The sequence below is a fragment of the Homo sapiens genome, chromosome 13, assembly GCF_000001405.40.
Source record: "Homo sapiens chromosome 13, GRCh38.p14 Primary Assembly".
Lineage (NCBI taxonomy): Eukaryota > Metazoa > Chordata > Mammalia > Primates > Hominidae > Homo > Homo sapiens.
In genome coordinates, this window is record NC_000013.11 from 50,780,977 (window position 1) to 50,808,247 (window position 27,271).

A 27,271-nucleotide genomic window follows, 5' to 3' on the forward strand; every position below is an offset into this window, starting at 1 on the left:
CCATCCATCTGTCCATCTATCCTTGGGTTTGCTCAAGCAATCAATCAAACATGTTCTGATTTTCTGCCTGCATTTTCTTACCCAAATAACTGGAGAATTTCTGCCTGCCTTCCTTAAATGGCTATTTTTCTAAATCAAGTTGGTAAATATCTATAAAGCAGTGGTTCTCAGACTTGTTGGTACTAAAACCTCTATACACTCAGTAATTGTTGAGAATCTCAAAGTGCTTTTGTTCATGAGGGTTGTACCAATCAATATTTACCATATTGGACATAGGCCACTTTAGAAATTAACTAGAAAGTAGAAAGGAATGTTTAAAACACACAAAAATAGCGAAGCACATTTGACCAGCCATCAGAGAAATGCTGTCATCACATGTCACTTCGCCTCTGGAAAACTCCACTGTATACCAGTAAGAGAATGAAAGTGAAAAAGCAAATACCATCTTAGTAACTGTGAAAATAGTTTTGAACTCCTGGACCTCCAGGAAGATCTTGAGCACCGCCAACATCCCTAGACACTTTGAAAACGGCTGCTCTAGAGCATCTGCAAATGGTCTTCCTGCCTCAGTCCCTTGTTCCCCACATCACTGCCTCGTGGATCTTCCTAAAACACACATTTGATGGTGACACTCCCCTACCTGGAGCCCTTTTTATGGCTCCTTATCATCTGTGGCATAAATTATCAATAGCAACCATGATCTAGACCACGCCTGTCTTTGCCGGGAAGACTCCTATCTGTCCTTCGCATCTCAGCTCAGAACACTAGGAAGTTGTGATAATTTTGACAAGATTTTGCCTTAGATGAAATAGAACAAATAAAAAAAAATTCTACTGAATTGTTTTATTTGCAAATATTTGTGAGATTAAAAAATAGATGGCTTTGATTTTAAGATTTTATGTTAGAAGTCAGAAAATCTTGAAATTTGATGCCAAGAGCCCACTACACTTTTAGGCTCTGTAAGCCATGAATATCTTTGAACATTTAGTATGTCCTTCTCCATATGTATTCAAACTGTGGTTTTATTTATATGCATAGTGGCTGCCCTCTAGAATAAAAGCATTTCATCTATCTCTTTCCCCCATACCCCCAAAAAACTTGGCTCAAATGTCATATATTTCAAGAAGCCTTTCTTAACACTCTCTTCCCTCCGTTAGTGGTCTGATCATGACTCCTCACATATCTAGAAAACCACCTCCCTCACAAAGGGTCTGTAAGTCCCTTGAGAATAAAAATCATTTTTCATTAGTCTTTGTAACTAGACTTTAGTACAGTGACTGGCATGGTTCCTGAAACAAAAGCCATTTCCAATAAATGGCTAACGGAAATCAGACATGTGCATATGTTGTGTCTTTGCCATGGTAATCATTTTCCCAGCCTCTGTGCCATCCTCCAATATAGCTCTTTTCTCAGCATCTAAGATTCTGTTGTTGGCAGTGTGATATTCTCAAATAGCCATAACCAAAACTTTAGTCATCTATGAATTCTCCCTCACTCTCAACCTCCTTGTCCAAGAAGCTATTGCGACCTCTTCATTTGATCTCTGCAATTTTATCTCCAACCATTTTATCCTTTCTGCCTTCCCTTGCCATGGCTTTAATTTGCTTCCTCATTATTTCACACTTGACCATTAGCACAGCCTCCTCATCTTCTACAAAATAGCCCTAGTTTCCATATAGTGAGCTTCTTGAAGTCAGAAGATTTATTCCTTACCATATTCCTAGCATATTGCACAGGACTCAAAATTGTCTTTTGAATAAAAATGTGAATTCCCACCCATCATATACACTGTCTACAGAAAAAAAAAAAAAAAACTCTTCAGGATAACTTCTAATCATGTCCTTTACCTATTCAAACATTTTCTGTGTCTTCCATTAATTACTGAATGTAGCAGATGCTGTTGGTGCCTGGGTCCACCTCCCCTCAGCCTGCGTTCACCTACAACATGAGCTCCCAAGACAGTTTCCCACTTCAAAGGCGTGTGTCTCTTTTCTATTCTTCCTAAAAGTTTTCTCCAGCATCAAGGGAGCTTGTTTTACAAAAGGTATAACCCAGAAGTTGGGAAAAGTCAACACTGCTGAGGGCAACCTCAACCAATAGGGGTTGGGAATCACTTGCTGAATTCCTCAGTCTCCTTATCTCCGGTAGATGGATTCTAAAGTGTGTTTCTCCATTTCTCAGGGGGCCCAGCAGGGCTGAGCTCCCATTGCTCACAGCAGCAAATCACTCATTTAACAAATGTTTCATTGGTTTCTCCCTTCCCTATCTCACTTCCCCTACTTCTTCCCTTTTGTGCCCCCAGAGATGGCCTTCCAAATAAACTATCTGAACCAAACAATGACATGAACAAAATCTAAACTTCCTGGCCTATCATTCAAAGTACCCCAATAGCTTGATTCTAATCTATATTTTCAGGTTACGTCATCTTACACATAATCTTACACAGAGTCCACCCTCTGGCCAACTGGAAGCCTTGTTGATCCCCAAACCATCTCACTCCAAGTTATAATTATTCTGTAGTTTCATTCACTTAGAATGACACCACTATGATTAGCTTAGACCAGTGGAGCTTCCCTCCCTAGTATGGGGAGGGACCCAGCCGATACAACCTCTCAGAGGAGGGTGACTGCAGTGAAGTCCTGTGAGCAAAAGAAAGTACAGGCTATAGCTGATGGATTGATGGCCAATAGCGTCTCTGCCACAAACAGGTAGCAGGAATGTAAAACATAAAGAAAATAGGTGCTCACAAATTCAACACAAAGTGCTGGAGACGTACTGGTGAGCTGAGGTGAGTCCTCTGAAATTTACTCCAGCAACAGACACTTTTTTACACACCCATCCCCAGCCATCAGTCCCTGATCCCTGCCATAGGCTCTCCCCATGCTGGCCCATACCACGCCCAAAGGAACACATATAGAGATATGGCCAGGCCCTCTAGGCCTGTGCTGTGACTGCTCTGCCAGAACAAAGATCACAGACTTACCACTCCCTGTTTTTAAGAGGTTGCCAACCCTTGCTCTTGCAAAGCCGTAAGCTCTAGCTTCAGTTCAGCGACCCGCCCCCTGTGTTTTGCCAGGCACATGGATTTCTGTGCAACCTGGATGCAGAGAGTTTCCAAATGTCTAGAGCTGTGAGATGTTAATCAAACGTCCACTTGAAGTGCTTTGGAAGCACTTCTGCTTTTTGGGTTATTGATGTGCTCATGTTGTATTAAGATATATTTCTGGTGCAATCATGAATTCACTTCAAGACATATTAAAGAAGGATTTTTTCCTAGCTGCTTACTTCAGAACATTGGTCCCTACAGACCAGGTATTTTTCACAGCTCCTTAGAGGCCCATAAAAAGTGATGGAAAAATGCAGCTGGGCATCTCATGTGGAAATCAAACCTACTGGAATTCCATCTGCATATCTGCCTTAACTTAGCTTGGTTATTGGTTCTTCTGAATTGTTCACTGCATACCTCTCCCCAACTTGTTTCCATCTCAAGGGAGGAGAAGCAATGGGAATTTTCGATCACATTATTCTCCAAGAAAGATGTTTGTGCCCCCAGATAATGGACATTTCCCTCCACAGAGCATGTCACACTCAGGAGAAGTGTTCAAGTGCATTTTCTATGGGCACAAATGGCAACCTGTCCTGGAGACACTCACAGAGAGATTGCATGGCCGCTGCATTTGAAAGCATGGACTCCCATCCCTGACCTGCCACTTCTCCCTAGCGGTGACCTTAGACAAGCTGCTCGGACCATCTGGGTTCTTTCTCTGATCTGTAGTGGAGTGATCAATCTCCTTCCCTGCATCTGTGTGAACAGTTAAGTGCTTTATAAAAGTAAGCGATTCATATTGGAACCTGTCCTGCAGCTCTGAGTGAACTGTTCTTCCCTAGAGCTGTCAGTTATCAACCTGAAACTAGCTGTCTTCAGATGTGCAAATTAGTTTTTTCTTACTGAAGAGAGTCTGGGGACTTCTTGTTCTTCTCTAGATTTAACATAATTGGGCTTTTACTTGGGCTGCTTATATAAGGAGAAGAGACAACCCCTCAGCTTACGTCATGCCCTATGGAAGTGCCATGACTGTTGGTCCTGTGAAGCCTGAGTTTGCCAATGGATAATCTACTAGATGGCCTGGGTTAATGTTCCTTCCTGCTGACTTAAGCTGAGGAGTAACTTACGCAGGTGTGACATCAAATCATTTGGAGAAAACCCATATTCAATGGGCACCTGGGGTTGGGACAAGTGAGACACAGAGATGGATGCACCCGGAATCAGGAATGAGGCCAGGCATTCACTAGCTTTCAATTATTTCACATCTTAGAGCAATTTTAGATTAAATCAGAAGATGTGACAGTAATCATAGTAATCAGTGTAACACTACAATTTTCTTAAATTTTGTTTTTGAGAGGAGTACCTGGGGAGTACAGAACAGTTTTCACCTAGAATTTTGCTCTATTAGAAGCCAAATATGGTAGTTGATCCTGGAGTTAATATGACCCATTGGAAATTGAAAATTGGAATCTGAAAATTTGAGTGCTGAATAGTCCTTACAGCCTTATCCTCAGCTATAAAAAAAGATCACTTAAGGCAACTTGGCCAACTACTGGGTGATTAAGAGGCTGCAAAGCTAAATGGTAAATTAAGCTTTGTCTTCCTCAATGTTGAACCACCTAACTGGGAAACACTCCTGTGGCATCACTTCCTTCTTCTCTGGGCTGTAGCTGAATTTCCTGACTTGGGAGTTGAAGTTGCCATTCATGACTTGGAGATAAACACTTCAAAACGTCATGGGAAGTACCAGTTTTCTCCAAGAATAGAGCATTTATCACCAACACTTGCCAAATGTTCTCAGGGAACAGAGAGATAGAAATACAGGTGTGGCCATGGATATTCCAGGCCCTTTATTCTATACTCTCATTATCTAAAGGCAGCAACGCCTTTAAAATGACAGAACATACTGGCCGCCAGAATAGAAGGAAACCACTACTCATAATTGCTTGAACAGACTCTAGCATAAAGGACCAGCATTAAGATGAAAATTAGGTGGAGAAACTCCAGGCAGCCATCGTTTTGAAGCAGATCATGGTGGCAGAGATTTGGCAGAAGGAGACTTTCGTGTGACATCATTTTGCTTGTGTGGTTTTACTAATAAGACTTTGATGGGTTCAAGGTTCTAGAAAATACCTAACTCTTGGACTTTACATGGGCCTGAACCCCATCATCAAAGAGCCTGATTTTTACCCATTCTGGTTTCTCTCTCTACCTGTGTGGCAAATACACTTGGTTCACCATATGCCATATTCATAGATAATCACAAGACTCTAAAGAAATGACACAGCAAATTATGTAATTGCCCAGAAGTTTCCTTGCCTGGTTTTTGGTTGTTTTGTTTTGTTTTTTAGTTCCTGAACACATAGATAAGAGCTAATTTGTATACGTGTACTATACAACATTAATACAATTTACCATGTAGGTTAATCCAGAACCTGCCACATAGTAGCAGCTCAGTGCATATTTGTTAAATGAAATAAATACTCGTAGGATTCAGCAGGAAGAGAAATCCAGAACAGTTAAGAATGGAGAAAATTGCTCACTAATACATGGTGGGTAAATACAGGACTTCCCTGGAACCAGACTTCCTGAGTGAGAATCCCAGCTTTACCAACTGAATCTCTCTGTCCTTGGGCAAACCCCATAATTTCTCTGTGCAAATGATAATTTTCAAAATGGAATTTTTAGAAAACATAAAATCCTTTATTTTTTAACTCTTTGTGTGAGTTAAAAATGAATGTTATGACCCTCAAAGGGCATCTGAGGAGTAAGGATATTTACAGAAAATTTAACAGAGAAATATTAGGATAAGATTGCCAGGTTAGATATAATCTGGGTAATGTCCAACATGCCATAAATCACTGAGGTTCTCGGTTTCCCTGATGATAAATTATTTGTAAATCTGCTGGACCAAAGTCTTCAAATTAACAAGTGACTTCCTTAAGCCTTGGAACTTTAATCAAAGTTGAGTGATGAGGTAAATCAAGGACATTATTCAAGAAAATCCTTGAGTGGCCTTTTCTCTCCTATGATATTGAAAGAACATGTCTCTCACCTTTTAGCCTTCGTTTCAAGTTTTGGATAATTTTTCTGGCATCACCTTCCTTATTATGAGGATAAAATGGGTTAACATAACAAAAAGTCCTTAAAACAGTGCCTGGCGTTTACTTAGTAAATGCTGTACTGACTATGAGTTTTCCTGGTGAGGTCAGGCCTGCTTAATAATGCCCAGGAGGGGATTTAAAACACAAAGCTCAGAAATGTTACTGTTAGCATTACTTCTCCAATCAACAGGGACCTCCCACTGTTAAATCAGAAGAGAAATGAATAACATTGTCTGCATTCTCTGTTGTAATTACTAACATTTAAAGTAGCATTTGGGGTTTCATATCCCATGACTCTCAAAGGGAAATGGAACACCAGCATGTGTTGGGGGCAGGGAGATAGCAAAGATGGAGCAAATCAAAGGGCGGCACCCCTCACTGGCCATATCAAATCCCTGCAGAAGTCACCTGAACCACCTCCCACTTGCCATCCTTGCATCTTTGCTGACACCTCTTGCCCCAGGTGTGGAAACAGCTTCCTCACTGAGCTCCCTGCCCCCTGCTGTTCCTACTTTCCATTCATTCTCCACTGGTCACCAGACCTACTGCCTAAAACATGGATCCAATCATGTCATTCCCCTGCCCTCCCCCCCACCTTTAACAATGACCTACTACCTACATAGCAGCACCCAAGACTCCCTGCCATCTATCCCCACAGACCAGTTCCACCCCCATCTCCCCGATGGACTCTGTGGCCTCACTCTCCACTCATGTTGGACCACCCAGCTCAGCGCCTTCCCTCTGCTCATACCCATTGTCCACGTCTCCTCTTCACAAACCCATATTCACTCCTCTCTGACTCACTCTGATGGATCCTCTGCTGTGAAACCTCCCCTAAGCCCAAGCCAGTAGCCTACATTTCCCTCCTTTCCACTCTCACAGCTCTGTTCGTGGCACAGCAGGCGTTTCCCCAGCACCATAGGATTCTCCCACAGTTAGATAATCTGATAGCATCTCTATCTCTCAACTGTGACTCCTGAGGGCAGGGGCTGAGTTCCACCGGACCTCGCATTTCTCAGTCTCTAGCTGTGTGCAGGCTCTGTCCCCAGCCTTGTAAGTATTCTCTTAACCAACTCTCTTGCCTTATTCCAACACTTATCCTGGTTGGAGCCTGGCTAGACACCCAGCAAACCAATCTCCTCACCTCTCAGGGCTCATGGCTGGACCACATTCCTCAGCCTCCTCTTAGAGAGGGGGTGGAAATGTGGGCACCAGTTCTGGGCTGGCCTGTGACATCTCCCAACACATTCCCCCAGACCCTCCTGTGCGTGTGTGTGAAAACACTGACGAATAATACCAAGGCTGTGAAAGAAAAGGTTGAAGTCAAAAGAACAATTCCTGGCACTTAGCAGAAAGAACCTCATTGTCGAGGACACTCTAAATACTGAGCCTCCATCAATGGCTGCCTACATCTCCAACTCCAGGGCTTCAGAAAGAACACAGAGCAACCACTCTGTCCTCTGTGTCCTAGAGTGACAAGCAGAGTGAGACTCTATCACTCTTCAAGGAGCCAAGAAATGAAAATATTACAAGGGAATAAATATTTCCTGAGAGGAAAATAGCATCAAGGGCCCTCGCCTGGGATGTTCAAATGTGGAAGTGATTCATAGGAAAATCCCTCCCACAGAAATGATGAGAGATGCTAGGTTAAGACTTCATCATAACAGTGAGTGATGTTTGGGAGCGGGGAGCAAAAGCTGGCATCCTCACGGACACCCTTTCACCCTCACACCCCTGGGACTGTGAAAGTAGCCACCACACCAACTGCATTTTATTTTCAGCTGTAAACCCAGAGCGGGAGCCTGGGTTATATCGAGGAAAGAGCAGCTTCTAGGAAGTCCGCAGCCGAGTGAAGTTTATTTTCCCTCTGTATGGCTGTAAATAATGGCTTCAATTTTGGAAAACATACATCTGGAGCATCGTCGTATTGCCAAACAGAGCCTCGTCACAACACAACAACAGCATCCAGAAGGTTGTCTGTTTTCTGCATGAAACATTGCTAGAGGGTGCTCAGTGTTTCGGAGCTCGGTGTGTGCGGAGTGTGGACAGCATACGTGCAGGTTAGCATGTTAATTCTCCAGTTGCAACCAGGAAAGGACGCGTGGGACACTGGGGTCAGAGTGTTGGCCTAAGTTCCCGAGTTCTTATGTTGGTTCTGCTGCTGCCCGTGCTCCTGAACAACCCATGTAACCTCTCAGTGCCTCAATGCCATTCTCCAGATGATGAGACCTACACAATGCAAACATTCAGTGTGAATGTTTCTTTTTCTTTAAGAAAATGGAACTTGACATACTAGATAACTAAGCCCCATAAAATCTTCATCACAAGATTCTTGAGAGCAGGAAACTCATGGTGTGTATGAAATAGAAGTTGATTTATTTAAATATGTATATATGTATACACACACATATATTTAGTGCACATTTTCAGGAACACAATTGTTTTCTACAGAATAGTACTTTTCTAAGTTATATGGCCTGTTAGTGCTTAATCAATGCCTACTTGATTGCAAGTCACCTTTAAAATATAGAATAACATGTTACCTAAACAGAATACATCATCATTATGAAATTATAGAATGTTAGCCCTATAACGGACCCTGGAAATCGTTTTGTTCTAACTTTTCATAGCATCTGAGGAAGCTAAAACCCAGTGAGGTGAATTACTGCCCACTTCAAAACATGTCTGCATGTCTGCATAGAATTTTTCTTAATGTTAAGGTCTGATCAGGTAAACTGAAACTAAACAGCAAGTCTTTCCACAAGTCTTTGTTTCCCAGAGCCACCTTTTTTCTCTTTCTTTCTTTCTTTCTTTCTTTCTTTTTTTTTTTTTTGGGACAGAGTCTCGCTCTGTTGCCCAGGCTGGAGTGCAGTGGCGCTCACTGCAACCTCCGCCTCCCAGGTTCAAGTGATTCTCCTGCCTCAGCCTCCCAAGTAGCTGGGATTACAGGCACGTGGCACCATGGCCAGCTAATTTTTGTATTTTTAGTAGAGATGGGATTTCACTATGTTGGTCAGGCTGGTATCGAACTCCTGGCCTCAAGTGATCCACCCTCCTCGGCCTCCCAAAATGTTGAGATTACAGGCGTGAGCCACCACACCCGGCCTCCCAGAGCCATCTTGTCACATGATTATTTGTATGTCCATTACTATCAATATCTCTTTCTTTTGTTAAAAATAAAAATAAAAATAAAAAGATCTGAAGGGGGAGGGAGTTGTGTGTGAGAGAAGTTTGTTTTCCTTCTCCCAAATCCTTTTATATTTTTTTCATGACACGATGTGGACTTTGAGGTGCCCTCTCAGGCCCGCAAGGATATCCTGTGAACCAAAGTAACACTCTCCGTTTAAGGAGACCCCCGCTGCTTTTTCATGTTATCTTTGAGGCATTCTCCATGGAGTCTGACCATCATTCTTGTTCAGAGACAGCTCTGAGGAATCCTCGGTCTCTCACACACACTGGTGGAAAGGAGGCATGTCTGGGGAAAGTTTGGAACAGCCAAGCTGGGATGGTTAGTCTGTGGGATGCGAGGGGTGTGGGGTGGGCGGACAACGTGCTGGCTGGGGTAGGAAGAGGACTCTGTTCAACCCAATGCTGTATAAACTGTCAATAACTCCATTTTCCAGGTGAGACAATAGAAGCCAGTCAGGCTTCCTGTAGAGATTAGCCACGGATGCTCTCTCGAGGTCCTGGTGCATTCCCGAAGAACAACCAGGGCTGAGGCTTTGTGCTCTTTAGAAAAAAGTGTTCCTTCCTCAAAAAAAGTTTAGCATGTTATTGCCCAAGCTGAATAAGCTCACTTCGGCTATACCCAAAGAAGGCAGAAAAGGTGGCAGGGAAGGGGACACGGCTACCTTCTCTCAGAGCAGAATGAGGTGATTCTGGACGGTGGCTTGTAAGAAGACCGAGTGGGCGAGGGAGGGAGGGAGGACACAAAGGAAGAGTCCAGGGGCTTTGGCCCTGGGGTTCCAGTGCCAAAATTCACCATCATGCATCCAACCTGTGGGCCTGTTAATCACACTCATTAAAGAAACCTATGAATACCATCAGGTTCCAGGAGAAACCATTGCTTCATAGATGTGTCCCCTGGGCTTGGCTGGGCTCTTCTCTGAGCAATGTGCAGGGTCAGGCAGGGTTGTACACATGCAGGGGCACCTATGCTTTCTCCTGCTCACACACCCAACACCTGCCCAGTGCTCTCCCACCCGCTTCATGCCCCTGACAGGAGGTGACCATGTGAGGTTCAGGGATGTGGGTGGTGAGACTTGGGCCTTCAGCAGCTGCAGGTGGGTGAGAAAAGCCACCTTGGTGGCCTTCTGGGTCTGGGGAGCAGTCGGAACAGGGTAGACTGGACACATGTGTATGTGTTGGTGACAGTGTGTACGTGTTCTGGGCCACTCTAGGAACATCCAGAATCTCCCCTTACCTAGGACATCACTCTGGAAACATCCCCATCTCCCCTCACCTCTCCACCAGGCCAGCTTGCAGGGTCAGAGCCAAGTTTTGTGGAACCTAAAAATTACCCAAGTGAAGGACTCAATCTTTAAGGAAAAATCCTCCCAAAATTATGAATACAAATTGGCCTGAATGTAAACATCTATTTAAAATGAGAAAAGAAACCACAGCAAATGACAATTTTAAAGATCTGACAAAAACCAAAAAAAATCACAAAATCCAGAAATGTATTTTTATTAGTTAAGAGCCTGACGCCTTTACATGTTTTCCACATTTTCTTGGCTGCTCTTTGATCACCTTTTCCTATGACAGTGATACGGTAACAGCATTTTTTTACACAAAGAAATAGAATTGAGCTTCAGTCTTTCCTTCCAAGCTGAAAACTTACCACTTCACAACTTCTTGTTGGCAATCTCTTACATTTTTTTAGGACTGTTGTCAAATCTGGGGAAAACTCTATCAAGTTTCTTTCATACATGAGCTCTAGGATTTAAGGACTTTTCAAGTTTTCTTATATATTAACTTCTAAATATTCTTTAAATTGATAACACTCAGAACCAGTGTATTATATATCCTATTGTAATGGTGAACATGAGTTTTCTGTTTTCTTCATCGATGCCAGTATTTTGTGTCAAATCAGTAGGAATATCTTTGCAATGGCTCATGTGATTTAGTCTTCTCTTTAATTGAATTATCAAATAATTCAAGAATCTACCCATTACTTTTGTCCAACATTCCATCCTGGAAGATATTTTTACATAGGAAATATATTAGCTCAATAACTACAGAGAAGTGCCTGTGAGTCTCATAAACATACCTCATAAACCCAAACAAAATGAATCCCCAATGCAACTTCCCTTTAGCTATTCCCTAAAATGTCCAGCACCCCAGCACGACTCCACACAGATAGGAGTATGCTGGGGGAAGACAGATTGGAAAGAGACAGCAGTCCTAACTGAGTGTCTTATTTTTCTTGGCCTAGTTTTTCCTTCTACTATCTCTTCTTCTCTATTCACTTCTCTATTCACTTCCGGGAACTGAACTTAATCAATCAAATTTAACTCACACTTGTTAATGGTGTGCGCACTGTTTTTTACGTCATTCCACTGTTGATAAGGTGTGCAAGAACTGAATATGTTCTTTGGGTCCGCACTCAAATATCACCTCCTCAGAAAGGCCTCCCTTACCCAATCAATTTAAGCCAGCCCTTTCCTCCCTACTTACTCTCTTCACATAGATTAGTTTGTCTTCTGGTTTTTGGGTTTTCTTGCATTCTTTGCTCCTCTTTTTTTTTTTTTCCAACTTTAATTTTAGAATTAGGGTGTACATGCACAGTTTCGTTACAAATTATATTGTGTGATGCCGAGGTTTGGAATATGAATGAATTCATCATCCAAGTACTGAATATAATACCCCACAGGTAGTTTTTTTCAACCCTTCCCTGAATCCCTTCTTCCCATTTCTAGTAGTTCCCAGTATCTATTGTTCCTGTTTTTTGTGTCCATATGTACCCAATGTTTAGCTTCCGCTTACAAGTGAGAACATGCCATATTTGGTTTTTTGCTTCCACATTAATTCATTTAGGATAATGATTTCCAGATGCACCCGTGTTGCTGCAAAGGACATGATGTCATTCTTTTTTTTAATGACTGTGTAGTATTCCATGGCGTATATGTACCACATTTTAAAAATTCAGTTCACTATTGATGAGCAACTGGGTTGATTCCATACCATTGCTATTGTGAATAGTGCTGCAGTGAACATACATATTTTCCTTTGGGTAGATACCCAGTAGTGAGATTGCTGGGTCAAATGATAGTTCAACTCTCAGTTCTTTGAGAAATCTCCAAACTGCTCTCCACAGTGGCCGAACTAATTTACATTCTGACCAACAGTGTATTAGGGTTCCCTTTTCTCTGCAGCCTCACTAACATCTGCTATTTTTTGACTTTTTAACAAAAGTGATTCTGACTGGTATGAAATATCTCATTACAGTTTTAATTTGCACTTCTCTGATGATTAGTGATGATGACCATTTTTTCTTACGTTTGCTGGCTGCTTGTAGGTCTTCTTTTGAGAAGTGTCTGTTCATGTGCTTTGCCCACTTTTTAATGGGATTGTTTGTTTTTTGCTCATTGACTTATTTAAGTTCCTTATAGATTCTGGATAATAGGCCTTTGCCAGATGCTTAGTTAGTGAGTATTTTCTCCCATTCTGTAGGGTGTCTGTTTACTTCTTTGATAGTTTCTCTTGCTGTGCAGAAGCTCTTTAGTTTAATTTGGACCCATTTGTCAATTTCTAGTTTTATTGCAATTGCCTTTGAGGACTTAGTTATAAATTCTTTGCCAAGGCTGATATGGAGAAGCATATTTCCTAGGTTTCTTCTAGGATTTTTAGAGGTTGAGGTCTTACGTTTAAGTTTTTAATCCATCTTGAGTTAATTTTTGTATATGGTGGTAGGTAGATGTGCAGTTTTATTCTTCTGCATATGGATAGACATGGTTTAGTTTTTAAACAACTTGTAAGTATTTGAAATCATCTAGTTGATTTATTTACTTGCTTATTGTTTACACTTTGACTTTCCCTTTGTATTCACCACTGTATCCTAGCTCAACGATGCCCAGCCAAGCACAGGTCAATAGATATTTGTTGAGGGAATGTGTTACACACCCCAGGCCCTTGTCGTAAGAGTTTACATTTTTAAAAAAGTTGAGTAAAAAGACTTTTTTTTTTTTTAACATGGAGTGTTTGGTCACAATAATGATGGCATTACAATCATTGTGACATTCAAGTCCAGGTCATCAGAGCAGGATTATGTCCTCCCATTTTACAAAAGGGGAAGCTGAAAAATTAACTTGCCCAAAGCCACACAGTTGAATTGGAGCCAAATTGGACATAAAATTCAGGGCTTCTGACTCCTATTCCTGTGTTCCACTTACTACTTCAGGTTGCCAGGCTGCCAATAGCATCTGGTGAAAATGTTTAAGTTTTTTAATATGAGAATCATGGCTGACTTGCTACTTGTACTTGTGCTGTGAGTTGGAAGACATTGGTAGTTGTAGTAGATTTGTTCTCAAAAGAGAAGAGCAGGTGTCCTTTACATGTTCTCATCCAACTTCACAATAACCCTTGATGTAGGCATTATTGAGCAGTTCCTTTTAACTGAGGCTCAAATGATTAATTTGCTGAAGTTCACAATCAATGTTAAATACAGGATTTATACCCAGATTTACTTCAAATGACTTTTATACATGAGATTAAAGGTCCACATCTGGAAGCTGGCTGGCTAGGTTGGAAATTAAGTATGTAGTTATCATACATGATAAAATAATAAAATTATGTGATTATATATTATGTATTATATAAATACATATAATTATATATTATTACAACAAAATTACTTGGTGACGGCTAGGCTGACATGTGATCTCCATCTAATTAAGAATTAAATATTCTATTACTGATGGGGTTGGCTTCAAAAACACACAAAATGGCCCCAAGGTGTGAAATCCTTGGCTTGTTTTGGGAATTACCATGATTAACCAAAAGCTAGAGGTATACTAGCTCATATTATCTATAGGAGATCTATAAGTGCTTTCATAGAGAAGGGGCCAACCCTGGAAAAGTAGCCTCTGGTCAGGGGTCATATATTTTTTTCAGCCAAACAGATCCTCTTGGGCTCCAGTGGCCTCCTCCCCAACTTTACCTGTGAGATCAGGGATTATAGCAAAAGGACAGAAGCAGATTCACCTTGAACTCATGTCCATGCACGTCTCCAGAGTGGTCCAGTATCTCACCTACTCTCTCAGGCAACAAATGCAGTTGATGATAAAGGGGAAGACAGTAGAAATGTAGCCCCTGACCTTGGTTCTCTTCATTCCAGCAAGTTCTGTTCCCTGAGAGAGCAGTGGAGATGATGTGAAAAAGGTAGGCTGAGGTTAGATTGGGAAGGACATTGTATGCCACAATATGGAGTATGACATTTATCCTGTTTTTCTTCAATATTTCTAAATTTAAACTGTACTTCAGATTGTTAAAATATTAAAATTCTCTACCTTGAACCATTCAATAATATATGTATGTTACACATATTTGTGTTTCTATTAAATTTATCAATTAACAGTAAACGTTATTTAATATTATTTTTATCAGCAAGCTAAAATGTTAACTCACACTGCGATTATTTTTATAGCAAACTGCAGAATTGAGATTAGGTACATAAACTGGAAATTAAAGATAATTAGTATGATTAATATTAATGATCTCTACCCACTCATTTTTCTATCCTTGTGGTTTAAAAAATGGGACTGCAAATATGTTAGGGCAATTGAGTCAGAGTATGATTTTTCTTATGCATCAGTAGACACTTTTGGCCTAAAAGTTTTAGGAACTACGTACTTTTCATAGCAAAAGTTATACAATTGTGACTCAGTTTACCATTGCTCACCAGTACCTGTTTTCCCTTTTTTCTCAGCATACCACCAGGATATATATAATATTCCCCCCTTATCTGAGGGAGCTATGTTCCAAGACCACCAGTGGATGCCTGAAACCCTTAGAGTACTGAACTCTATATATTTTATATTTTTTCCTATACTTACATACCTATGATAAAGTTTAACTTATAAATCAGGCACAGTAACAGATTAATAATAACTAATAATAAAATGGAACTATTATAACAATATGCCAGCATCACTAGTCTTATGCTTTGGGGCCATTATTAAGTAAAATAAGGGTTATTTGAACACAAGCACTGTGATCCCACAACAGTCAATATGATTACCAAGAAGGCCTCCAAGTGACTCACAGGTGAGGAGCATCTATAGTGCAAATCTGCTAGGCCAAGGGAGGATGAACGTCTTGGGGTGGGCCTGGGCAGGATGGTGTTAGATTTCATCATGCTACCAGAATGGCATGCAATTTAAAATTTATGAATTGTTCATTTCTGCAATTTTCCATTTAATCTTTTTGAATTGCAGTTGGCCACAGTTAACAAAAAACTCAGAAACTGAAACCAGGTATAAGTGGGAACTGCTATAGTCCAATTAGAAGTGGTCATGTGACTCCACTCCCACTCAGTCATGTGACTGAGCTCTGGCCAATGGAATGTGAAAGGAAGTGAGGTGTGCTACTTCCAGGCCTGCTTATGAAAACCTCTTATGTCCAGTCCTTGCTCTTCCACCACCCTCTGACTGAACAGTGAGGTTTATGAAGACCCTAATAAGAGCAGAGGCATCAGATAGAAGGAAAACGCATCCCTGAGAGAGACCACTTGGAGTGGATCCCAACACCCCATCTGACCTGCACTGAACTGTGTTGTGAGCAAGAAGTAGAATGTTTTGTGTTAAGCCACTACAAATGTGGGGTTGTTTGTTAATGCAGTTAACACACTCTAACTAATACATTGAATAAAATGTGCTATAGACAAGCAGAAGGAAAATTCTGCAATTGAAAATGAAGATGTATCACAGGTTTTGAAACAGACTTGATGCATGATCAGATTTGAGAGGATGTAAGATCCGAACGTGGAGTACATTGGATGGAGTTGGTTGTTCTGGGACAAATAGGGTAGGAACGTGAGTGCAGAGAGTAGGTCTAGAACCTGGATTCAACCCAAGGGAAGTAGTTGGCATGAAAAAGCGTGCTGGGATTCATCCTCCAGGAAACTGGGGCCCAGTGGTAAGAATCACAGCCTGGAGTCCAAGGCAGGAAGCTCAGACACTGAGGGAGTACGACATAAGGGAGGAAACTCAGCCAAAGTCAATCTTGAGAGAAATCTAATCTTTTTCTGGGACGTGCTAATATAATAAGGGTTCCAGACACGGGAGCCTTCTATTGCACTTTAAAGCTTCAATCACCAAGCAGCACGTACAAGAAGTGTTTTTTCTTTACAAGCCCTTACATTTTAAAGAAGAATCAAAAACATTTTTTAAGTAGGACTAGGAAATGGAAAAAGAGTAGATGTTAGTTTCTTCATTGTAATGTTTGAAAGCATTCTTGTGTTTTGGTAGGTCTTGAACTCAATGGCAATTGTTTATTCTCATGGCAGGAAAGTATATGAAAAGATTAAGGGTGTTTTCCTGCTTAGATCTTTAGGCATATAACTAAGGAAAATGGACAGAGATGCAGATTCACTTATGTTTGCAAAATGCGGAGTACACTGAATATCCCTTTGGTGTCACATATTTTATCTTGCCTAAAAATTATTATTTGTTCATTCACTTAAGTATAGAGCTCAGATTCTGTGCTCCCAAATCTGCCAGAATTTAATGGGGGCCACAGAGAAATTGTAAGAACGTACTATTGTCCCCTATTGTTAGGAACATTCTTCATTTAGCAAAAGTTGATTTAGCCCCTCTTCTGGGTCACACTGTTTTGGCTTAGGGAAACATATTAACTAAGAAGTTCACAGTCTAACAGATGGGTAGATGAAGAATTAAGCAATTGTACAGAAGAGCAGATTTCAGAATGCCATTGTAATAGGTGGCACCACCAAATAGGCCTGGTTCACATGTCATTCTGCAGGTGGTATGCCATTTTGGACACCTTGATGGCAGTTGTCTATTCACTCTACCTGGCTCTGCAACCACTCATTAATATTCATAATATGATAACTAAGGAAGTCATTGAAAGTGACCTAACCCACATGAAATGAAATGTATATTTACAACTCATTCAAAATAAATAGCACATATATGTGTACAACACAATATGGGTGGCGCAGTCACAAACCTGACTGCAAACTCAGTTGTGCAAAAAATTAAACTTTTAATATTTTTGGTTATTTACTTTAATTTTTACGTTAAGTTCCCTTTGTCCAGTGGGACATACACTGACACCTAGGCAATTTGTGATGCCATAGACGTTCAAGGTGGCATGGGGACAGGGCTAGGAGTCCAATGCCTTCAGTCCTTTCTCACCTGATGATGCCAGCTCCCATTGTTCCATCTCTCTGGGTCTCCACCCACAATCCTTAAATCATGTGTGCAGGGCCTTGTCCAGCCTGGGGACTCTTTGTACTATATTTGGGCTGTTCTTGAGCTCATGCAAGCTATTTGGCTGCTCCCAACATGCAGTGAGGCAAGAGAAACTCTCTGAGGCTGTCCGGGTCTCATGTCAACCTCCAGGCCACTCTAGAAATGATAAGCAGGACAATTCCGCTGGTCACTCCCTGTATCAGAGTGCTGGAACCTCGAGGAGACTGTCAAAGCACTAGTGCACACAGCCATTGCTCCTGGAGCCTTCTGTATTCTGGAACCCTGGTTCCCCCTAGCTCTTGGGACCCACTCACCTGTGTGGGCCTCCTTCCCTCCTCACTCCACCTGCAGAAAAGGCATGCCACTGTCCAGGGCTTCTTGCTTCTCCTCCAACTCTCCTCTTTCACCCAAGCTGGAGAAGCTTTATCTTTCTCCTGGAAGTGAGGATCTTTGCTCCGAATTTTCCCTGCCTTTCCCTGGGTTATGTTTTTGAAACCTCAAAAGCCAGAACAGGGTCCCTATTCTCTGCTTTTGATTAATACATCCTCTCCCTGAGTCAGCTAACCACAAACAATGAGCTTTGCCTTGGTTGGGGTAGGGCAGTGGACTGGTGAAGAAGTAACAGTTTTATCCTCCTACACACATGCACACATATATGCATATTACAACCTTCAAATAACACAGAGATAATCACAATCTGGACTCACTGCAAGCCCTTCTTCATTAATGCATTGATACAATCCTCAGCAGAAATGGCCGTGTAAAACACCCTTGCCTTGTTCCTATGTGGATTTCTTGTATTCTATTGCATTTCACGGGTTTGTGCTATTTGCTGATCCTGTTCTCTATTCCACTTTGGTCCATGTCTCACCTTCACTCCAGCCGGTTGGTCAGATTAGTAACTAACTGCCTTGTAGCAAAGTGATTTTTATACAGACAATTGTGCGTCTCTGCAATTGTAAAAAGCTTTGACATTGTAGTTTAGATTCTAAACTCTAGATCCTTTAATAACAGCATTTCTGTAGCACCAGCAGTTTCCATTCCTAGTTGCTACTGTAGTAGCAGGTCTCGGGCACATGCAGAAACTTAGTGGGGCTGCCTTAAAATGGACTCTACAAGACGACTGCTACAAAATATCTTTTCCTCTCTTCACTATTATGGAAGGGAGTGGTATTATATTAGGACCCTCTTGTTTGTGGGCAGCAATTACAACTTTCTATTTAGATACTTCTCTTTCCTCTGCTTATGTTGGAGTCTTACTCTGTGATTGCTAACTGTATTGCATTGTCTTCATTCTCTCAATAGCAACAGTAGAAGTTTTAGATTATCTGTCCTGCGTTGCTGAAGATTTGCTGCATAACTACTGGATGTCCACATATATGTGTGTAGACACTATCAAACTGTACACAGAACTCTGGGGGTATGGAGAAGGGAATGATTAATTTTGCCTGTGAAGAAAGATTGGCAAGGGGCATTGAAGGCTTCATGCAGGAGATGACATTTGAACTAAGTTTGCAGAATAAATAGAATTTCAGCATTTGGGTACGATGCCTCTGCTGAGGGTGGCAGATTAAGAAAGCACAAAGAAAGGAGTGTGACAAATAGAAAGTAGTGTAAGAAAGGGCAAAAGAGAATAAAAGCTCATGGTATGAAAAGGACAGAGGTGGCATCTGGAAGTTAAAGCACATAGTACTTGTATCAGAAGAGTCCTATCTATGGCTAATGCTCAGCCCGGTTGACTGAGTGTAAAAAATAGATTTAAAATATTCAAAAATACCGACAAAATGTAAAACAGAATACCAAATTCAGAAAGTGGGAAAGCACCCCTTCCCCTTCAGTTTCAAAAAATACACTTTGTATATCTGAGCTTTGAACAGGAACCACACCCTGAGGAATGAAGGGGCCTCCTCACTGAGGATAATTTTAAGTTGCTAATTGCTACCTATACCCCCTGGCATTAAACAAACAGAGCTGCCTTCACTCCTCCTAGGCTGCCCTTTGAGGAAGAACATAAGCATCTAAAAATAGAACCTCAGGGGTTTTCCCGCACATTAAAACTTCTGCCCATCCTCCCCTCCAGCCAAATCACGTTAATCATGATGAAGACCAAAATAATCGTGCTGAATGAATGTCCAGGAGCTTAAATATTTGCTTTGGACAAATACTCTGCTTGGTGCTTTATACCCTAAATCCTCGAATTATGGAGAGGAAGCTTGCAGCCCTTAGGGAGAAGAGAGAGGCGAGGTGAAGAAAGTACAGAGATTTCAATGGCCTCTTGGACTTTTCTGTCTCCTTATGTTTTCCTGGTGTTTTAGTGGTTAGTTTTGCAGCATACAGTGCTAGGCTCTTCCCTCACACTTTATGTTTCCCCATGTGGACAGTATCTAGAGATTAATAAGGAAGGCCCACTCTGAGAGTGACCACTAGCAAGCCAGCAGTGGGGCTGACTCTCAATTTGGAATGAATGTTTGAAGAGGCTTTTCACATTTCATAGAAATGAGGATTGTGACTCTACAGAAAAAGTTGTTGTCTACAAGAAGGTCCCTTTACTCTTGGGAAGCAACTTTAGCTGTCCTCTCCTTGCTTTTTCAAAACTCGCTTAGCTAATAAAGAGACCAACATGCTCATCTTGGATCCCAGTACCTCTCAGTGGAGAGGAATTTGGGAGGGGAGTCGGTTTGAAAGGCAAAGTGAGCTCTCGGTAGCTGAAGCTGCATAACTACACCGTCACCCCTCCATCCACCTGCTCCCAGTGCAGCAACCCTTCCTGAGGTCGCTTCAGATGTTTTCAGCTATTCCAGGTGACCATTCTTTAGCAGCACGGAGCTGTTGTTCATACTTCGAAGTGTCATCAGCCCCACATTTTCATTTTTGAGTATCCCTTTTCTGAGCAGAGACCGGTCTACTGTGGCAACATAATGCATCCAGTTAAGGCAAGAGATTGACGACTCAACACTGACCTCCACTGGTTGGCATGGAAATACCTAATCCCTTTCGTTCAATGCCTTGGCCATTTTCACGGGGTGCACAGGGAGCCCTCAGCACCTTGCACTGCACTGTTGGTTGAGATTTTACATGATTTTAAATTACCTTCCAAGGAGCATATATGTAGATTCTGGAAAACTCTGATCCAACATTGAGACCTCAGCGCGCCCTTGTACCACCACAAACCACAACATCATTTTGTTTACACCAAGTTAGGGAGTTCAAAGTTGAATTCATGAGAATCTGAGAAATCTATGTCAATCTGTTTCCATGGTAGTGTTATTAATGACTATTCAATTGCCAATAGATTTATTATTACCTTTTAAATGCCTCAAACTCCAATTGGCCATTGTAACCCCATTTTCAATTGGTATAATAATCTTGCCTGCAGAGAATCTGTGCCAGATGCTGTGTTGCCAATGCCTTAGTTGTCTGGAGGTGGGCAAGGAAGGCCCGCTTGGATCAGTGCCACTAAAGGTGGGCTGTGATTCTCCTCATGGGGGTAGTCAGGACTTGGAACCAGCCAGGATTTCAGGAGAGAGACAAGGCAAAATGAACAAGGGAGCCTCTATACACTAAAAAAAAAAAAAAAAAAAAAAAAAAAGGCACAAGCCCATTAGTTTAGTTTTCTGGGAACAGGCCTGATGCAGTTTAATCCAGAGTGGCTGGCCTCTGAGGAACTGGGCACTTGTTGATTTCAATAGAAACCCAACTGATGCTTCTCCACCCAGGAAGGTACAATCAAGTTAAGAGAGCAATTGGTGAAAGAGATTATGATTTGGAAATACCTCCCATTTGGTTCCACTAAACAGAGTAGGTCAGAAAGAAAGAACTAAGCAAAACCATTTAATTAGTGCTCCTGACTCTCAAGAAAGCTGGAGCCAAAAATGAAATTCTTAGATAGCAAGCCCATGTTCTTCATATTGGTGTCTTCATTTAGAAAGCGACAGTACCTATGTCAACAGCTATGTTGAGAAATATTAAGCAGAAATGAAGAAAATGCAATATATATCAAAAATTGAATAAAATTTTCTCCATGGTTGTTCTTGTTTCAATGCCCTCAAAAACTAATTTAAATATTTTATTTAATTTTGAATAGGTCATACATATTTGGGGTACTAAACTTGGATGGCACAAAAGGATATACACTAAAGAGTAACTCTCCCTCTTATCTCTGTCACTGAGACAACCAGTTCTCCTCACAGGAGGCGACCTGAATTACTAATTATATATGGATATTTCCAGATATGTTTTATATGTCTGTACATGTGTATATCATACATGTACATGTACTTTTTTACACAGTTGGGACCACGCTATTTATACTTATCTGTGCCTTGTCTTTTTATCCACATAACAATAGAGCTTAAATAGGCTTCTACATTATTACATAATATATTTTCTTATTAGTTTTTATCACACGGCACTTCATTGTGTAATGTTTCATAATTTATTTAACCTGTTCCCTATTGATAACGTTTAGGCAGTTTCAGATTTTTACATGTATAACCAATAGCCTAACAGGTCATTGGTACATAAATCATTTCACACATTTGCAAATACATCTGTAGGAAACATTCCTCAAATTGGAATTGCTAGGTCAAAGGTATGTGCATTTGTCATTTTGATAGATATTGACAAATTTCCCTCAACTAAGATTGTACGAATTTATACTTTAACCATCAGTGTGTGAAACGACTCACTCTCCCCTTCCTCATGGACTCAGCATGTTATAGAATGTGTTGATCATTGTCAATCTGATGTGAAGTAATATTTTCTGATAATTTAACTTGAAATTCTCTCAACTTTAGTGAATTAATAATGCTTTGCCCTTTTTTATTAGGTTGTTAGACATTTCCTTATTGATATAATTCTCTCTATATTAGAATATTCTACATTAATAAAATTAACCCATTAAAGTGTGTCAAATATGGTAGCCACCAGCCCCATGTGGCTCTTGAACACTTGAAATGTGGCTAGTTCCAATTGTGATGCACAGTAATTATAAAATACACACCAGATTTCTTGGAACAAAAAGGAATAGAAATATCTTATTTATAATATTTTGTATTGATTACTTATTGAAATAAAATTATTTTTGATATGACAAATTAAATAAAACATATTACTAAAATTAATTTCTTTAATTAAAGAAAAAAGGTGATGCATTTCTTTAAAAAACAGACTTCTTTTTACTTTTTACACTAACTACTAGAAAATTTAGAATTACACGTGTAGCTTACATTGTATTTCCATTGACAGTGCTAGTCTACTATGTGAGCTGCAAATTTTTTGCCCAGTTTATTTTTATATTGTCAGATTCATCAGTTTTTTGTTATGACTTCTGAGATTTGTAATGGACTTAAAGAGATCTTCCTTACTACAATACTTTTAAAACTTTTCCATGGTGGGTCCTAGTATTTTTATATTTTTATTAACGTGGAAATCTTTGATTCATCAGGAAATCATTTTGATGTAAGGTCTGAGGTTAGAATCCAATATTAATTTTTTAGAGGGCTAGAATGAACAACATTTATTAATTTCACCCTTTTCCCACTAATTGAAATGTCATCACGTCCTAAATATTTTAATGTCAGGTAGGGCTAGTACCATGTATTTTCTATTTTTTCCCCTGAATTTTCCTGGTTATTCCTGCTTGTTTTTTTCCTTTATATGAACTTTAGAATCATATATAGACTCCCAAATTTTATTGATATTCTTATAGGACCTGTATTAAATGTTTATATTTTTTTAGAGAGAATTGAAAACTGTCTGATACTGAGTTTCCCTCACCAAGAATATAATATACTTTTATATCTGTTCAAGTGTTCTTTTGTGTCCACAAGAGACAGTGTAATGTTGTTCGTTTTATGGGGTTTTTTTTTTTTCTGTTGTTGTTGTTTTTGTTTTTGAGACAGAGTCTCACTCTGTCACCCAGGCTGGAGTGTGGAGTGCAGTGGCATGATCTCAGCTCACTGCAATCTCTGCCTCCTGGGTTCAAGTGATTCTCCTGCCTCAGCCTCCTGAGTAGCTGCAACCACAGGCATGCACCACCACACCCAGCTATTTTTTAAAAATTTTTATTAGAGATGGGATTTCACCATGTTGGTCAGGCTGGTCTCGAACTCCTGACCTCAGGTGATCCGCCAGCCTAGGCCTCTCAAAGTGCTGGGATTGCAGGTAGGAGCCACCACGTCCAGCCAGTTAAAGATTTTACATAGGTTTTCACATCTGACAAATTTATTCTAAATATTTTCTAGTGATATTGCTATCAAAAATGAAGTATTTTCTTCTATTATGCCTTTTTTATTTTAATATAGGAAGGATGATGATTGTATATATTTACTTTATAACCAAAGACCTAACTGAATTCCACTATTGTTCTAATATTTTTTTTCAGTTGGCTCACTTTTTATATAATAAAATTTTTACTTTTATAATCTACAAGCAATTATTATTTGTCTTTTTCTTTTCTAATTTGTATACATTTTCTTTCTCTCTTGTAAAACTGCATTGCTTAGGATGTCTAGATCAACGTCTATGAATAGTTGTGGTAGTAGACATTCTTGTCTTGTTCCTGACATTAATATAAATATTTCTGAGTTTCCTTATAGATTATAGCACTAGCTTTTAGATTGAGATTAGTATATTGCACTAGGTTAAGGAAGTATCTATTGCCATTTATTGACAGTTTTGTTTTGTTGTTTATTTGCTTGTTTAGTAAGAATGGATGTTGGAGTTTATCAAATGTCTCTCAGCATCTAGAAACATGATTTTTAATCTATTAGTGTGGTAGAAATATATTAATAGATTTCCTAATATTGAACCATCCTTGCATTCTAGAATAAATATAATTGCTCATGGTGTGTTAGTTTTTTAATGTGTAATTGGATTTTGTTTAATAATGCTTTATATTCATAATTTTTGTGTAATAATCCTAACAGTTATTGTTTTATTATTTTGATTTTCTTCTTCAAGAACACCAATTATGCATATGTTTGATTTTTTTATATATTTTGCATCTATCATATAACCCTTTTAAATATCTTTTTTATTTATTCTTTTTACTCATTTTTTTCTAATTCCGTCTTCCACATGTCTAGCTATGCTTTCAGCAATGCCCTGTCTTCTTTGTGCAGTTTCCTACCACTTCTCATTCAGCTTTATCGCCTTTCCTTTTTCTAGAAACCTCACCACTTTGAGGCCCAGGGAAGCACTCAGTCAAGCTGACACACCCTTATTGCTAGAGAACAAATATCAGCAAACTATAGCCCATTGGCTAGCTTTCTTTTTTGGGAAGTAAAGTTTTATTGGAATATAGATATGCCCATTTGTTTATTGTACATGGTTGCTTCAGCACTACAGTGGCAGAATTTGATAGTTATGGCAGAGACCATATGGCCCAGAAATTCTAAAATATTTACTATTTGGTTGTATAAGAAGTGGTTTGCTGCCCTCTATTGTAAAAACCTCCATTTACATTTCAGTATGTATCACTTAGAATTGTGCTTTTATGACTTTCTTGAAGCTCAGAATCCACAGGCATCTTCACTCTGGTACTTCCTATGTCCTATGCCACTAAGTCTTCTCTCTCTCTCATTTAAAAATCTCTGTTGTTTCCTAGTTTTACAAAGGATAAGCTTTGCATTACTGTTTTTCTTGATTCCCTTGATGTTTTGGTTGGTTTTTCTGAGATATGAATAAGAAAATACTCACTTAGCTCTGCATGTTAAAATTGGAAGTCCTCAGATAATATTCCAAGAAATTATTTTTTATTTTCATCTTTGGTTGGTTGTTTTTTGACCATTGGATAGAGATCTTAGCATACTAAATGTCTTTATCCTGAATATATAGAGATTTTCTCTCCTTAATTTAATGATTTTATGACTTCTGCAATTCTTTTAGTGATTATTTAGTTCTCAATGAAGAACATAAACACAACTTTTTAAAAAACATGTATTAGTAAGGAAAAATTTGTTTTATATTTTCTATTGCCCTAAATTCTGACTCATATTAGACAGCTCGGAGTAATATTTAATACTTGAAACTTCACAAGTAATTACAAATAAATAAATGCTATAAATATTAAAAAATAGGAGCAATCTCAACTTTATCCTCACATTTTTCTGCTAAGACTTATTTAGTTACATATTGGGCTTATTTTAAAATTTAACCAAAATTATTTGATCTTTAATTATGTTTTTACCTAGAAATGTATATTTAAAAATAAAGTGTAATTCCAGTTGTATTTATACTATTCAGAATTTCAGAAGTCTGTAATCCCAGCTACTCGGGAGGCTGAGGCAGGAGAATTGCTTGAGCCTGGGAAGTGGAGGTTGCAATGAGCAGAGATCGCACCATTGCACTCCAGCCTGGGTGACAGAGCTAGACTCACTGCACTCTAGCCTGGGTGACAGAGCTAGACTCCCTCTCAAAAAAAAAAAAAAAAAAAAAAGTCGGTCTGCTCCTCTGCCTTTTTTTTTCCTACTTTTAAGAGTAGTCTGCCTCCGCAAACTTTAGTAAAGAAGTACTAAAATTAAGTGTGTTAAATGGTGTTAAGATATATATAAAAATTAATTTTTAAAGAGAGTTTAGATTGTTATCTTTAAATTTTTTTATACATTTCATAAAACATAAGTATTTCCTAATCATTAATAGGTTTTAATGAGCTTTAGTAGATGAGCAGAAATATCAGAGATATAAAATGATACTATACCGGCTTCCTTAAGAAGCTTTCTATTATTTCTTAGAATCCTGCTTTATTCTCTTTCTTGAATTCATACATGGCATTTAAAAATCTCTTAAAGATGGTCATCAAAAACAAACAAATTTTTTAAAAGATGGTATTTGACATCTCCCCTCCCTCCTCCTGCTTCTCTCAAGCACCAGTTTCCAGGTACCACTGCCTATAAAGCCTTTTCCAAACACAAATTTAATCTTTGAGTGTTGAGGTTTTTTTGGTGTTTTTTTTTTTAAGGTAATGTATTATCCTATGCAATGATATTGAGCTTTTGACTGAGAAATTGTGAAATCAAAAGTAAAGTATAGGAATTCCTTAATGGACATTTCAAGAACTTTGAAAGGCTATTGTAAGGGGAAGAAAGAGGGAAAATCTGTTTCAGTAGGAGACCTTCTCACCTCTTTACTCATAAGCCAGCCCGGGCATCATATGACTTCATCAGACTGCAACTTACTGTTCTCCCCTTTGTGGGGAGTGTCAAATGCTATAATAGAGTTCTCCAGTCTGAGGTCAGCGAAAGCTTCTCAAAGGAGATGATGCCTGGCTAAAGGGACTTTCTTTCTGAGAAAGGGATCAGCATGTGCAAAGATGAAGAGGCATAAGGACTGACCAGTGGGTCACGGCAATGAGACATTTACTGCTGACCTCCAAGAGAAGACTTCCATTGAATGAGAGGAAGATCTACACTACTAATGATCAAACTGTGAGTGTTTTAGCTTTGTAGACTTATCAGGAACTTGGGAGATCAAGAAGACAGGATCAAACAGCAAATGGAGCTTTATCAGAAATGAAGAAAAGCATTTCTCCACAGTCCTAAGCTAAACCCTTTCTGCTAGTCCCAGTTCTTATATGTGCATCAAGGCAAAAAAACATTAATCAGAACAGGAATGTTTGATTGCTCATTCAAATTTGAAATAAGCAGCTTCCATTCTTCTAACCTTCCCTGGTGGGGCCATAACATTAT

General features: G+C 39.7%; 1 protein-coding gene and 1 long non-coding RNA gene across 2 annotated transcripts in view, besides 2 other annotated features; one reads left to right on the forward strand and one right to left on the reverse strand.

The window, feature by feature from the left end:
* The window catches only part of DLEU7 (deleted in lymphocytic leukemia 7), a 132,914-nt gene that overhangs the window by 69,951 nt on the left and 35,692 nt on the right, over positions 1 to 27,271 (reverse strand). The gene's annotated exons all lie outside the window — the stretch shown is intronic.
* Positions 20,270 to 20,319: an enhancer, noted in NCBI's record as "active region_7767". NCBI's record gives its function as "activates an Ori minimal core promoter by ATAC-STARR-seq in GM12878 lymphoblastoid cells {active_cell/tissue: GM12878}" and the evidence as "EXISTENCE:reporter gene assay evidence [ECO:0000049][PMID:35858748]".
* Positions 20,390 to 20,489: an enhancer, noted in NCBI's record as "active region_7768". NCBI's record gives its function as "activates an Ori minimal core promoter by ATAC-STARR-seq in GM12878 lymphoblastoid cells {active_cell/tissue: GM12878}" and the evidence as "EXISTENCE:reporter gene assay evidence [ECO:0000049][PMID:35858748]".
* Positions 26,879 to 27,271, forward strand: part of DLEU7-AS1 (DLEU7 antisense RNA 1) — a 42,051-nt gene continuing 41,658 nt past the window's right edge. Inside the window, exon 1 of the long non-coding RNA NR_046551.1 lies at positions 26,879 to 27,010. This is a non-coding gene — a long non-coding RNA (DLEU7 antisense RNA 1). The remainder of the gene's footprint in view (positions 27,011 to 27,271) is intronic.